This window comes from Homo sapiens, chromosome 5, assembly GCF_000001405.40.
Source record: "Homo sapiens chromosome 5, GRCh38.p14 Primary Assembly".
Classification (NCBI taxonomy): domain Eukaryota; kingdom Metazoa; phylum Chordata; class Mammalia; order Primates; family Hominidae; genus Homo; species Homo sapiens.
This window is the reverse complement of record NC_000005.10, coordinates 62,979,318-62,994,414: the sequence shown is the minus strand read 5'-3', so window position 1 is coordinate 62,994,414 and position 15,097 is coordinate 62,979,318. Positions and strand designations below refer to the sequence as shown.

The 15,097-nt window shown below is 35.9% G+C and overlaps 2 annotated features.

Moving 5' to 3' along the window:
• Positions 11,284-11,783: an enhancer, noted in NCBI's record as "NANOG-H3K4me1 hESC enhancer chr5:62278459-62278958 (GRCh37/hg19 assembly coordinates)". NCBI's record gives its function as "activates a minimal SCP1, AML or CMV promoter by ChIP-STARR-seq in naive H9 embryonic stem cells {active_cell/tissue: H9 hESC(naive)}" and the evidence as "EXISTENCE:reporter gene assay evidence [ECO:0000049][PMID:30033119]".
• Positions 11,784-12,285: an enhancer, noted in NCBI's record as "NANOG-H3K4me1 hESC enhancer chr5:62277957-62278458 (GRCh37/hg19 assembly coordinates)". NCBI's record gives its function as "activates a minimal SCP1, AML or CMV promoter by ChIP-STARR-seq in naive H9 embryonic stem cells {active_cell/tissue: H9 hESC(naive)}" and the evidence as "EXISTENCE:reporter gene assay evidence [ECO:0000049][PMID:30033119]".

Genomic DNA, 15,097 nt, shown 5'->3' with positions numbered 1-15,097 from the left:
GAGGTCTAGGAGGAAAAAATGGTTTTGTTGGCCAGGCTCAGAATCCCTCTGCTGTGGGCAGTCTAGGGACTTGGTGCCCTGCATCTCAGCTGCTCCAGCCATGACTAAAAGGGACCAAGGTACGGCTTGGGCTATTGCTTCAGATGGGGGAAGTGCCAAGCCTGGCAGCTTCCACATGGTGTTGAGCCTGAAGGTACATAAAAGTCAAGAATTGAGATTTGGGAACCTCCCCCTAGATTTCAGAAGATGTATGCAAATGCCTGGATGCCTCAACAAAGGTTTGCTGCAGGGGCAGGGCCCTCATGGAGAACCTCTACTAGGGGACTGCAGAAGGGAAATGTAGGGTTGGAGCCCTCACACAGAGTTCCTACTGGGGCACCACCTAGGGGAGCTGTGAGAAGAGGGCCACTGTCCTCCAAACCCCAGAATTATAGATCCACCAACACCTTGCACCATGCTCCTGGAAAAGCTGCAGACACTCAGTGTCAACCCATGAAAGCATCCAGGAGGGAGCCTGTACCCTCCAAAGCCACAGAGGTGGAGCTGCCCAAGATGATGGGAGCCCACCTCTTGCATCAGTGTGACCCAGATGCAAGACATGGAGTCAAAGGAGATCATTTTGGAGCTTTAAGATTTGACTGCCCTGGCATATTTCAGACTGTAGCCCTTTTGTTTTTGGCCAATTTCTCCCATTTGGGATGGCTGTATTTACCCAATTCCTGTACCCCCCATTGCATCTAGGAAGTAACTAACTTGCTTTTGATTCTACAGACTCATAGGCAGAAGAAACCTGCCTTGTCTCAGATAAGATGTTGGACTGTGGATTTTTGAGTTAACGCTGAAGTGAGTTAAGACTTTGAGGGGCTGTTGGGAATGCATGATTGGTTTTGAAACGTGAGGACATGAGATTTGGGAGGAACCAGGGATGAAATGGTATGGTTTGGCTGTGTCCACACCCAAATCTCATCTTGAATTCTAACTTCCACAATTCCCACATGTCATGGGAGGAACACAGTGGGAGGTGATTGAATTATGGGGGTAGATCTTTCCTATGCTGTTATCATGATAGTGAATGAGTCTCACGAGATATGATGGTTTCAAAAACAGGAGTTTTCCTGCATAAGCTCTTCTCTTCTCTGCCACCATGTAAGATGTGACTTGTTCCTCCTTGCCTTCTGCCACAATTTGAGGCTTCCCCAGCCACATGAAACTATAAGTCTATTAAGCCTCTCTCTGTTGTAAATTGCCCAGTCTCAGGTATGTCTTTATTAGTAGCATGAAAACAGATTAATAAATTCCCAACGTTAGAAGTGGGACTTAAGGGAGGATATTTGGTCATGGGGGCAGATCCCTCATGAATAGATTAATACAATCCATTGAGAGTGAGTGAGTTCTCACTCTAATAGTTCCTACAAGAGCTTGGCATTAAAAAAGAGCCTGGCACATCCCCCCATCCTTTTCTTCCTCTCCTGCCATGTAATCTCTACACACACTGGCTCTCTTTCACCTCCTATCATGAGTTGAAACAGCTTGAAGCCCTCACCAGAATCCAATAGATATGAACGCTATACTTCTTGTACAGCCTGAAGAAACATGAACTAAATAAATGTCTTTTCTTCATAAATTACCCATCCTCTTTATTTATAGCAACACAAAATGGACTAAGACATCATAGATCAAAAAATAAATCTCAAGGAAAACTTCAAAACATTTTGAACTAAATGAAAATAAACATATAATTATCAAACTTTGTGGATGCAGCAAATCAGTGCTTTGAAAATTTTCTAACATTAAAATGTATATGTTAGAAAATAATAAATATTTCAAATCAATAATCTAAGCTTCTACCATAGGAAACCAGAAAACAAGGCAAATCAATTCCAAAGCAAGCAGATGAAAAAAAATAATAAAAATTACAGCAAAAATTAATAAATTAAAGACAGAAAATCAGTGAAGAAAAATCAATGAAAGCAAATGTTGGTTCTTTGAAAAGATCAGCAAAATCAACAAACCTCCAGCCAGACTAAGAATAAAAAGAGAAGACACAAATAACTAAGATTGGAAATGAAAAAGGAGACATAATCACAGATCTCATGGACACTAAAAAGATAATAAAGGAATATTATTAACAACTCTATGTCCCCCAAAATTGATAATCTAGATGAAATGAACCAATTCCTTAAAATACACAATCTGCCAAAATTCTCACAGGAAAAAACAGACAGCCTGAATGGGCCTTTATCAATTAAAGAAATTGAATCAGTAACTAGTAACCATCCCAAACAGAAAGTCTCTTGCCCAGATGGATTTGTTAGCAAATTCTAACAAACATTTAAGAGAAATTATATCAATTCAATAACTGCCAGAATATAGAAGCAGAGGGAACAATTCCTAACTCATGTTATGAGGTCAGCATTACTCTGATATTAAAACCAAAGATATCACAAAAAAACCACAGACCAATATCCTCATAAAGATGCAAAAATCCTCAAAGTAAATAGCAAATTGAATCCAACAATTTATGAAAAGAATTATATACCATAACCAAGTGGAATTTATTCTAGGAATGCAAGGCTAGTTCAACATTCAATAATTAATTAATGTAATCTATCACATCAATAGCCTCAAGGAGAAAATCACATCATCATTTTAATAAACATATAAATAGCATTTGACAAAATTGAACACTCATTGATGATAAAAACCCTCAGCAAAGTAGGAATAAAGAGAACTTCTTCAATTGGATAAAGAACACCTACAAAAAATGTACAGCTAACATCATATTAATACTTAATGGGGAAAAGGAGAAGTTTTCCCAAAAAGATCAGAAACAACACAGGAAGATTTCCTCTTACTACTCCTTTAAAACATTATACTGGAAGTCCTAGCTAATTCAGTAAGACAAGAAAAGGAAAAAATGTTATGCTAATTGGGAAGGAAAACATAAAACTGTCTCGGTTTACCAGTGACATGATTGTATATGTAGAAAATCCTAAAGAATTCATCAGAAAAAAATCTCCGGGAACTAATAAGCAATTACAGCCAGGTTATGGGATGCAAGGTTAATATACAAAAGTTAATTGCTTTCTAACATATCAGCAATGAACAAGTGGAATTTGAAATTTAAAACATACTATTATTTGCATTGGCATCCCCAAAAGTGAAACACTTAGGCATAAACATAACAAAATATGTACAGAATCTGTATAAAGAAAACTACAAAACTCTAATGGAAGAAATCAAAGAACTAAATAAATAGAGAGATATGTCATGCTCATGGATAGAAAACTCAATATTGTCAAAATGTTCATTCTCCCCAACTTGATCTACAGATTCAATGCAATCCCAATCAAAATTCTAAAAAATTATTTTGTAGATATTGTCAAACTAGTTCTAAAGTTTCTTTTGAGATTCAAAACACCAAAATAACCAAACAAGATTGAAGAAAAAGAACAAAGTCAGAGAACTGTCACAATCTGACTTAAAGACTTACCATAAAGCTACAGTAACCAAAACAGTGCGATATTGGTTAGAGAATAGGTAAATAGATCAAGGAAACAGAATAGGAAACAAAACTAGACCTATATAAATATAGTCAACTGGCCTTTGACAAAGTAGAAAAGGCAATAAATTGAAGAAAAGATAATCTTTTCAACAAATGGTGCTATGATAGAACAGCTGAACATCAATATTAAAAAACAAGAAAAGCAATCCAGACGAAAACCTTATACCCGTCACAAAAATTAACTCAATATACATTACAGACCTAAATGTAAAATGCAAAACTACAAAACTACCATGAGATAATATAAGAGAAAAATCTAGATAACCTTGGGTATGGCAATGACTTTTATTTTTATTTTTTAATTCAATTTATATTTCAGATACAGGGGTTACATTTGCAGGTTTGTTACGTATTGTTAAATATTGCATCCAGGTAGTAAGCATAGTACCCATTAGGCAGTTTTTCAAACCCTCCCCAACCAGTAGTCCACAGTGTACCCAATAGGTAGTTTCCAACCCTCCCCCTTCTAGTAGTCCACAGTGTCTGTTGTTCCCATGTTTGTGTCCATGTGTGTGCTCAATGATTAGCTCCTACTTATAAGTGAGAATCTGTGGTATTTGATTTTCTGTTCCTGTATCAATTCACTTAGGATTATGGCTTCCAGGTTCATCCATGTTGCTGCAAAGGGCATGATTTCATTCGTTTTATGGCTGTGTTGTAGTCCATGCTGTATAAATATCACATTTTCTTTATCTAATCCATCATTTGTGGGTACCTAGGTTGACTTCATATCTTTGCTATTGTGAATAGTGTGGTAATGAACATACAATTGCCTGTGTCTTTTCCGTATAATGATCTATTTTTCTTTGGGTTATGATGTGATTTGAATTTGTGTCCCTGCCCAAATCTCATGTTGAATTGCAATCCTCAATGTTGGAAAAGGGGGCAAACTTCCCCCTTGTTCTCATGACAGTGAGATAGTGAGTGAGCTCTCATGAGATCTGTATTTTTTTAAAGTATGTATCTCCTCCCCCTGTGCTCTCTTCCCCCTTCTCCAGTCATGTAAGACGTACCTCTTTCCTCTTTGCCTCCTGCCATGATTGTAAGTTTCCTGAGGCCTCCTCAGCCATGCTTCCTGTACAGCCTGCAGAACCATGAGCTGATTAAACCTCTTTTGTTTATAAATTACTCAGTCTCAGGTCATTCTTTATAGCAATGTGAGAACAACTCACATTGAAGTTGTTCAATGTGAACAACAGGTTATATACTCAGTAAGGGGATTGTTGGGTCAAATGGTAGTTCTGTTTTAAGTTCTTCAAGAAATCTCCAAACTGCTCTCCGTAAGAGCTGAACTAATTTGCATTTCCACCAAAAGTGAATAAGTGTTCCTTTTTCTCTGCAGCTTCACCAACATTTGTTGTTTTTTGACTTTTTAATAATAGCCATTCTGACTGGTATGAGATAGTATCTCATTGTGGGTTTTGACTTGCATTTCTCTGATGATTGGTGATGATGAGTATTTTTTCATGTTTGCAGGCCACTTGTCTTCTTCAGGAAAGTGTCTTTTCACACACTTTGCCCATTTTTTAATGGGATAATTTGGTTTTTGCTTGTTGATTTGTTTATGTTTCTTATAGATTCTAGATATTACATCTTTGTCAGATGCATAGTTTGTGAATATTTTCTCTCATCCTACAGGTCGTCTGTTTACTCTATTAATAGTTTCTTTTGCTGTGCAGAACTCCTTAATTAGGTTCCACTTGTCAATTTTTGTTTTTGTTGCAATTACTTTTGAGGACTTAGACAAAAATTCTTTGCCAAGGCTTATGCTTAAAAGGGTACACCCCGGGTTCTCTTCTAGGATTTTTAAGGTTTGAGGTCTGACATTTAAATCTTTAATTCATCTTGAGTTAATTTTTGTATATGGTAAAAGGTAAGGGTCCAGTTTCATTCTTCCACACATGGCTAGCCAGTTATCCCAGCACCATTTGTTGAATAGAGAGTCCTTTCCCCATTGATTGCTTTTGTGGGCCTTGTTAAAGAGAAGATGGCTCTAAGTATGCAGCTTTATTTCTGAGTTTTCCATTCTGTTCCACTGGTCTATGTGTCTGTTTTTGTACCAGTACTATGCTGTTTGGGTTACTTTATAGTATAGCTTGAAGTCAGGTGGTGTGATTCCTCTGACTTTATTCTTTTTGCTTAAGATTGTCTTTGTTATTTAGGCTCTTTTTTGGTTCCACATGAATTTTAAAATAGTTTCTTTTTTTTCTAATTCTGTGAAGAATGACATTGGTAGTTTGATAAAGACAGCATTGAATCTGTACATTGTTTTGGGCAGTTCATTGGCCACTGGCAGTAAAATTGGCCATTTTAATGATATTGATTCTTCCTATCCAGGAGCATGGAATTTTTTTTCATTTATTTGTGTTGTCTCTGATTTCTTTCAGCATTGTTTGGTAGTTTTCCTTGTGGATATCTTTCACTGCCTTGGTTAGCTGTATTCATAGGTATTATATTTTCCTCATGACTATTGTAAATATATTGTGTTCTTGATTTGACTCTTAGCCTGGATATTACTGGTGTATAGAAATGCTGCTGGTTTTGTACATTGATTTTGTATCCTTAACCTTACTAAAATTGTTTATCCATTCTAGGAGCCTTTTGGCAAAGTATTTAGGGTTTTCTAGGTATAGAATCATATTTTCAGTGAAAAGAAAGAGTTTGACTTTTTCTTTTCTTATTTGGATGCTTTTATTTCTTTATCTTGCCTGATTGCTCTGGCTAGGGCTCCCAGTACTATGTTGGATAGGAGTAATAAGAGTGGGCAAACTTGTATTATTCCAGTTCTAATGGGGAATGGTTCCAACTTTTGCACATTCAGTATCATGTTGGATGTGGATTTATCATAGATGGCTTTTATTATTTTAAAACGTGTTTATTTGACTCATAGTCTGTTGAAGGTTTTTATCATGAAAAGATGTTGTAATTTATTAAAAGCTTTTTCTGTGTCTATTGAGATGATCATATGGTTTTTTGCTCTTAATTCTTTTATGTAGTAAATCATATTTATGTATTTACATTTGTTAAGCCAGCCTTGCATTCCAGGAATGAAGTCTATTTGATCACGGTGTATTAACTTTGTAAAGTGCTGCTGGCTTCGGTTTGCTAGTATTTTGTAAATGATTTTTGCATCTATGTTTATCATGGATATTGGCCTGAAGTTTTCTGTTTTCATTGTGTCTTTGCCAGATTTTGGCATTAGGCTAATGTTGGCATCATAGAATGAGTTAGGGAGCAGCCCCTGTTCCTTGATATTTTTGAATAGTTTCAGTAGGATTGGTACTATTTCTTCTTTGCACATCTGATAGAATTCAGCTCTGAGTCCATCTGGTCCCAGACTTTTTTTGGTTGGTAGGTTTTTTATTCCTAATTAGTGCTTGATATTGGTCTATTCAGGGTTTCAATATCTTCCTGATCCAGTCCTGGGAGATTGTATGTTTCCAGGAATTTATCCATTTCCTCTAGATTTTCTAATTTGTGTGCATAGGATTTTCATAGTACTCTCTGAGAATCTTTTGTATTTCTGTGGGATTGGTTGTAATGTCATCTTGGTCATTTCTGATTGTATTTATTTGGATCTTCACTTTTATCTTTGTTAATCTAGCTAGAATCATATCAATCTTGTTTACTTTTTTCAAAAAACCAATCCTTGGTTTCATTGCTCTTTTATATGGATTTTTACAATTCAATTTTGTTCAATTCTTCTTTGGTTTTAGTTATTTTTTTTCTGCCACCCTTGGGGTTGGTTTGGGTTTTTCTCTAGTTCCTTTGGGTGCAAAATTAGATTGTTAATTTGATATTATTCTAACTTCTCAATGAAGACATTTAGTGCTATAACCTTTCCTCTAAACATTGGTTTAGCTGCATCCCAAAGGTTTTGGTAAGCTGTGTCCTTATTTTCATTAATTTCAAAAACATTTTTTATTTCTGTTCTAATTTTGGTGTTCACCCAGGAGTTATTCAGGAGCAAATTGTTTAATTTCCATGAATTTGTGTAGTTTTGAGAGATCTTCTTGATATTAATTTGTTTTTATTGCACTATGGTCTGAGAGTGTGCAAGGTCTGGTTTAATTTTTTTAATTGATTGAGATTTGCTTTATAACCAAGATGTGATCAATCTTAGAATATGTTTCATGTGGAGATGAGAAGAATGTATATTCTGTGGTTGCTAGGTGGAGTGTTCTGGAATGTCTGTTATGTTCAATTGATCAAGCATTGAGTTTAAATCCAGAGTTTTTTTGTTAGTATTCTGCCTTGATGATCTGTCTAATGCTGTCAGTGGAGTGTTGAAGTCTCCCACTATTATTGTGTGGTATTTTAAGTCTTTTCATAGGCCAAGAATAACGTGTTTTATTAATCTGGGCCCTCCAGTGTTGCATATGTATATATTTAGGATAGTTAAGTCTTCTTGTTGGGTTGTACCCCCTATTATTATGTAATGCCCTCCTTTGTCCGTCTTAATTTTTACTGGTTTAAAATCTATTTTATCTGATATAAGAATAGTGACTCCTGTTGTTTCTTGTTTTGTGTTTGTATGGTAGATCTTACTCTATCACTTTACTTTTAGCCTGTGGGTGTCATCACTTGTGAGATGGATCTGTTGAAGACAGCAGATGGTTGGATATTCTTTTTATCCAGCTTGCCATTATATGACTCTTAAGTGGGGCATTTAGCCAATTTATATTAAGGATTGGTATTGATATGTGAGATTTTGATCCTATCATCATGTTGTTAGCTAGTTATTATGTAGACTTGATTATATGATTGCTTTATAGCGCCTATGAGCTGTGTGACTAAGCATGTTTTTGTGGTAACTGGTGTCATTTTTTGGTTTCATGTTTAGCATTCCCTAAAGGACTGGTAAGGCTGGCCTAGTTGAGATGAATTCCCTCAGTGTTTGCTTGTCTGAGAAGGATCTTATTTCTCCTTCACTTATAAGCTTAGTTTTGCAAGATATGAAATTCTTGGTTGGAATTTCTTTTCTTTAAAGATGCTGAAAATAGGCCCCAAGTCCTGGTTTTTAAGGTTTCTGCTGAGAGGCCTGCTGATAGCCTGATGGGGTTCCTTCTCTATATGACTTGACCCTTCTCTCTAGTGGCCCTTAAGAATTTTTCTTTTGCATTGATCTTGGTGAATCTAATAACTATGTGCCTTGGGGAAAGTCATATTCTATAGTATCTAGCCAGGGTTTTTGGATTTTCATGTAAACCTTCAACCTTTCTAGCAAGATTAGGGAATTTTTTATGGACTATATCCTCAAATATATTTTTTGAGTTGTTTATTCTCTTTCATTCTCTCTCAGGAATGCCAATGAGTCACAGATTTGGTCTCTTTACATAATTCCATATTTCTCAAAGCTTTTATTCATTTTTAAAATTCTTTTTTCTTTATTTTTGTCTGACTAAGTTGATTCAAAGGACCAGTCTTTGAGCTCAGAAATTCCTTCCTTACCTTTGTCTATTGGGGTGTTAATACTTCTGAGTGTATTATGAAACTCTGGTAGTGAAATTTTAGCTCTAGAAGTTCGGTTTTCTTCTTTCTTGACTATTCCATTTTTCAGCTCTTGGATCATTTTACTGGATTCCTTGAATTGCCTGGATTGGCTTTCAACTTTCTCCTGAAACTTCGTGAGCTTCCTTGTCATCCAGATTCTGAATTCTATATCTGTCATTTCAGTCATTTCTGATTCATTTAACTATTTCTGGTGTACTAGTGGGCTTCTTTGGAAGTAAGAGGACATTCTGGCTTTTTGAAGGCAATGACTTTTTAGATATGACATAAAGGCATATTCCTAGAAAATAATAACTGACACACTGAAATTCATTAAAATTTAACACTTGTGCTCTATAAAAGACTGTGTCAAGAGAATAAGAAGACAAGCAATGGACTTTGGGTGACAATAATGTATCAATATATGTTTATCAATTGTAAAAAATGTACCACTCTGGTATGGGATATTGAGAGTTGGGGAGACGGTGGGGGACAGGCAGGGAAGGGATATGGGGGAACTCTATTTTTCACTCAATTTTACTGTGAACCCAAAACTTCTATCAAACTAAAGTCTATTTTTAAAAACCACTATTATGGAAAACCACATAGGTAAACAAAGGTTTAAAATTCAACTTGAAGCTATAAAGGGCTCAAGGTATATCATGTTCTTAGATAAGAATATTTAGTATCATAAAATTAAATCTCTATAAGTTAAACTACAAATATAACACAATCCCAGTAAAAAATACCAACAGGATTTTTAATTGCACAAACTGTTTTATATATATATAAAACAGAAAGCATTAATAACCAGAAAAAAAATCTATGAAAAAAAGAGTAATAAAAGAGATGGCTGGGCATAGTGGCTCGCACCTATAATCCCAGCACTTTGGGAGGTTGAGGGGGACAGGTCACAAGGTCAGGAGATCGAGACCATCCTGGCTAACACAGTGAAACCCCATCTCTACTAAAAATACAAAAAAATTAGCCGGGCATGGTGGCAGGCACCTGTAGCCCCAGCTACTCGAGAGGCTGAGGAAGGAGAATGGCGTGAACCCAGAAGGTGGAGCTTGCAGTGAGCCGAGATCACACCACTGGGCACTCCAGCCTGGGCAACAGAGCGAGACCCTATCAAAAAAAAAAAGTGGTATTCTACATTCTCTTTATGTATTAATATCAAATCCTCTTTAAGACAAAATAACTAAAGCAGTGTGGTGATTTTGCATGAACAAAATTTCAAACCAATAGAAGAGAATAAAAAGAGTAGAAATAAACTCAAATCTATGTGGTAATTCTGTAAATACTAAAAATGATCTCACATTAGTAAGGTGATGCTAGATTTTTATCTTTCAAAATATGATATTGGGGGAAAATGTAACCACCTGGAAAAATAATAAAGTTGGACATCTACCTAAAATTTTATAACATAATAAATTCAAATTAAATCAAAAATTTAAAATAAAAAGTAAAACTATAAAGGTACTGAATAGAGCCCTGGGAGACATCTTCTCTAATCTTTCAGTGGTATAGGCTTTTTCACCATGACACAAAACCTGGAGACCATAAAGTAAAATAAGGGTAAGTTGTGCTAAAATTTTAAATATTTGTTCATAGCGAACTCCACCACAGAAAAGTCAAAATACATGATTACCAAAAAGGTAGGGAGAAAAATCCACAATCAAAAGCAATTTCACAACACATGCACACACACCCACACACACACACACAAGCATACCTGCTTTTATTATTACATAATAGGCACTAGCCATCAATAAGAAAATATCGGCAACTCTTTAAGACAATATAAAAATTTTTTCATAAGAGAAATGAAATTTAAACTACTGATATATTTTACATATTAGAGTTGCAATGATAAAATGATTGATAATATTTATGCTATCCAGATTATATGTTAGAGGTTACAGGAACACTTGCATCTTGCTAGTTGGTGCACAGATCTATGATGGGTTTCAGCAACATCTATAAAAATTACAAATGTACATGCCCTCTTGCCCCACAATTCCAATTTTAGGAACCTATTTTACATATAAATGCACACATTCTACATATAAATACATACATATTCTACATATACATTTATGCAAAATGACCTACATACAAAGTTATATATTTTAATATTATTTCAGATAGCAATAGATTCAAAACAAACCAAATGTCACTAATAGGGAATTGGTTGAATAAATAAAAGAATATTCTGAAACTGTTAAGAATGCAGTAAAACAATTTTTTATCTACTGAGACAAAACAATCTCAATATAAGTTAAGTGGTAAAACAAGATACAGCATAGTGTGTATAGTATGTTTCCATTGTGTCAACAAGAGAGGAAAGAATATAAATGTTTGATTGTACTCTCCAGAAAGATTCATAAGAACACAATAACACAGGTTACCTGTGGGAAGCTGGAGACGGGTAGAAGGAGACTTTTCACACTCTACTCTTTTGAATATTTTACATTTTGAATTATGTGAATGCATTACCTGTTCCAAAAAATAAGTAAGTAGTTACATTTAACAAAAAATATTGCAAGAAGAGGAGGCTGCTTTCTCATTCCCTAGTTACATGTTACATTTTCTGGTGTGCTCTTTCTGCCTATCTGAGGAAGATGAGGAAAGAAATGGTAAGAGAAGACCCAGCAGGGAGCAGTAGGAGCCTGGTAGGGCTGGGAAGCTTGAGACTCTCAGGGGCCAGTGAACTCGGAAGATGTCTTGAACAAGAGGCAGTAGTTGATGGAAGTCAGAAAGAGGTGGGGTCGGAGGCTGTCTCTGCCTTCAGAAGATTGTGTCAAGGGAGAGCCCAGGCCACCCATGGAGAAGCCTTTGCATACCACAATATCAGCCAATCCGTCTTAGCAGGAGACAAAGACAGCCAAGATAAACTAAATCTGCAGTTAAGTAACAGATGCTTTTCTTTCCATCATCTTCCTCTGCAAGGCAACACTCCAGGAGAAAAAGGGAGCCAGAAGATGGGTGAGAGAAGGAGAGAGAGGACAGATGATGCCCGTCTACACATCCGGTCCCTTAGTCTAGTCCAGAGGGCAAAGAAAGAAGTAGATAAGCAGTAAAGTGGGCATGAGATGGAGATGTGGACCTTTTAATGGACCTTTCACTTATTATCTTTTTCAATACCTTGTTCATCTATGCAATAAGTAAGTAAGATGTTAGTAATAAAGCTTGATAATGTAACAAATATCCATGAGGCCACTATCCAACCCAAGAACAAAAACATTACAATATCATTTTTAATTGTACTAAAATACACACAACATAAAATGTATCATTTTAACCATTTTTGAATGTATAGTTCAGTAGCATTAAGTAAATTCACATTGTTGTGCAACCATCACCACCATCCGTCTCCAGAATTCTTTTCGTCTTGTAAAACTGAAAATTTGTACCCATTAAACAATAATTCCCCATTCCTCCCTCGCCACTGCCCTGGAAACCACAATTCTACTTTCTGTCTCTATAAATTTGATTACTCTAGGTACCTAAAAAAAGTGTAATCCTAAAATATTTTTCTTTTTGTAACTGTCCTTTTTCACTTACTGTAATTCAAGTTTCATCCATATTGCAGCATGACCACAAAGTTTGGAAACCAGCCCAAAATATTACCAAGCCATAGGAAAAGGAGGATCCACAAAATACAGTTGATTTAAAAATGAATGCATTTCATGTTTGTGTCTCAACTAAGTACAGAGTCTTCTCAACAAATCAGTTGCTGCTGATATTTCTCCTGCTGATACATTTAATCCTGTGGAATATCAGCAGCAACTGGTTTGTTGAGCAAACTGGTCTGTCTGCTGAAGTCCAAAATTAACAAATACCCAGTCCTTTACAGAAATATTGCCATGTTCTTCTAGAATTTCTTTCTTTAAAAATAAAGAACCCTTTCTTTCCTAATTTGAAATGTCTATTTATAGTTTGAAAATCAGGCAAATACCTATGCAGATGATAATGTCAGAAACTGTTTTCATCTCTGATAAGCCGAGTTTAAACAACTCTGTCTGAGGGAACATTCTTTGAGCTCAAGTTCCTCCTCCAATTATCTCTAAATAGACCTCAAAGCAAATGAAGATACTCTCACCATAGGTAACTTGCAGAAAATTTACAGATGCAATCTTTTCTCTTTTTTGCTTTCCTCAATCATTGTCCTACTCATAATGAAAATCTTAAGTGAAATAGTTAAGTATCATATTTCAATACTCTCCTAAAGTAAAAACATGGAGATGGTAGAGTCAGCAAAAACTTTTGGAGTCAGCAAAAATTTAATGTGCATGCGCTCTGACATTGTTCATTAGGTATTCTGATTTTATATTTGCAGTAGGGGTAAAATTGCTCAACAATAAATATATAAGATTATGTCTAGAAATTTAGTATGTCCAAAGAGCCAGGCACAGTGGCTCTCACCTGTAATCCCAGCTACTTGGTAGGCTGTGGAGGGAGGATCACTGGAGTCCAGGAGTTTGAAACCAGCCTGGGCAACATAGTGAGACCTTGTGTCTAAAAAAATGGAAAAAAAAAACATTAGGTGAGCATGATGGCACATGCCTATAGTCTAGTGGGGAGGCTAAGGAGGGAGGTTTGCTTGAGTCCAAGAGTTGAAGCCTGTAATGAGCTATGATGGTGCCACTCTACTCCAGCCTGGGTGACTGAGAAAGACCCCATCTCTAAAAAAATTGTGTGTATATACATACATACATATATATATACACACACACACACACACACACACACACATACACACACATATATTTTATATATATTGTATAAATATATATTATTTGGGTGTATATATTATATATAAGAATACTTATATTAATATATATATTCTTTGGATATAAAGAAATACATCCATAATCTCTCTGGTTTCTTTGTGCTATCAGAGATAGAATAAGTAACCATAAACTAGTTATCTACTGCTAAAGAAACAGATATCTTTATTTTGTGAGTCTATAAAGTTCAGAAGGAGAAAGGCCAAAGGCCACTGTCTTTCTAATAATATAATATACAAAACACAAGAACACTTGTAAAAAGGGATTACTCCAGAAAAAAAGATCAAACAGTTCATTAAAATTCATTTTATAAGATATCTTTCACAGATACTATGCTAACTTCTGAGAAATTTAACATCCTGTTGAGATCACAATGATCTGCAAGACAAAAGAGAAAGAAAATTATTTTATACAAAAAAGTACAACTAAATTATGAGACCTTTCAAGATTTGAAATGCAATTTATTTTTTCATATCAGAAAAATGAACTTTTTTGATCTGATGAGCTAATATATAATTCAATCTCTAGGTATAATGTATAGTATTTTTTTCCTCAAGTTGTCCTTTAAGAACCTGATTCAGGCCAGGCATGGTGGCTCATGCCTGTAATCCCAGCACTTTGTGAGGCTGAGGCAGGTGGATCACTTGAGGTCAGGAGTTCAAGACCACCTGGCCAATGTGGCAAAACCCTACCTCTACTAAAAATATAAGAATCAGCTGCACATGGTGGCACGCACCTGTAATAGCAGCAACTCAGGAGGCTGAGGTAGGAGAATCGCTTGAACCCAGGAGGCAGAGGTTGCAGTGAGCTGAGATCACACCACTTGCACTCCAGCCTGGGGGACAGAATGAGACTCCGTCTCAGAGAGGCGGGAAAAAAACCTGATTCAGCAGTTCAGTTGGCTTGTTTTATTTTTCAGTGTCTTTAACACCTTACACGCACAAACTTTCTAACTTTCCCCATTACAAGTGATGAAAAGCATTTTGATGACTTGTGCAGCAGTATCAGCAATACACCATATTTGAAATTGGAAAAAGGAACTTCTTAGAGATAAACTTATTTGGACTTTACTGAAATGCACAGAGAGAGGAAATCTTCCCCACCCTCCTCCCTGAATAAGGTGATTTCGTTATGTTGTTTTTAAACAGACACTTTCCTGGAGACTCCCATCATTAATTAGGCTAATTTTACTGGGTGATGACCCTTCAAACTTGAATGGGAAGGGAAAGTCACAGGCTATTTCCTCATT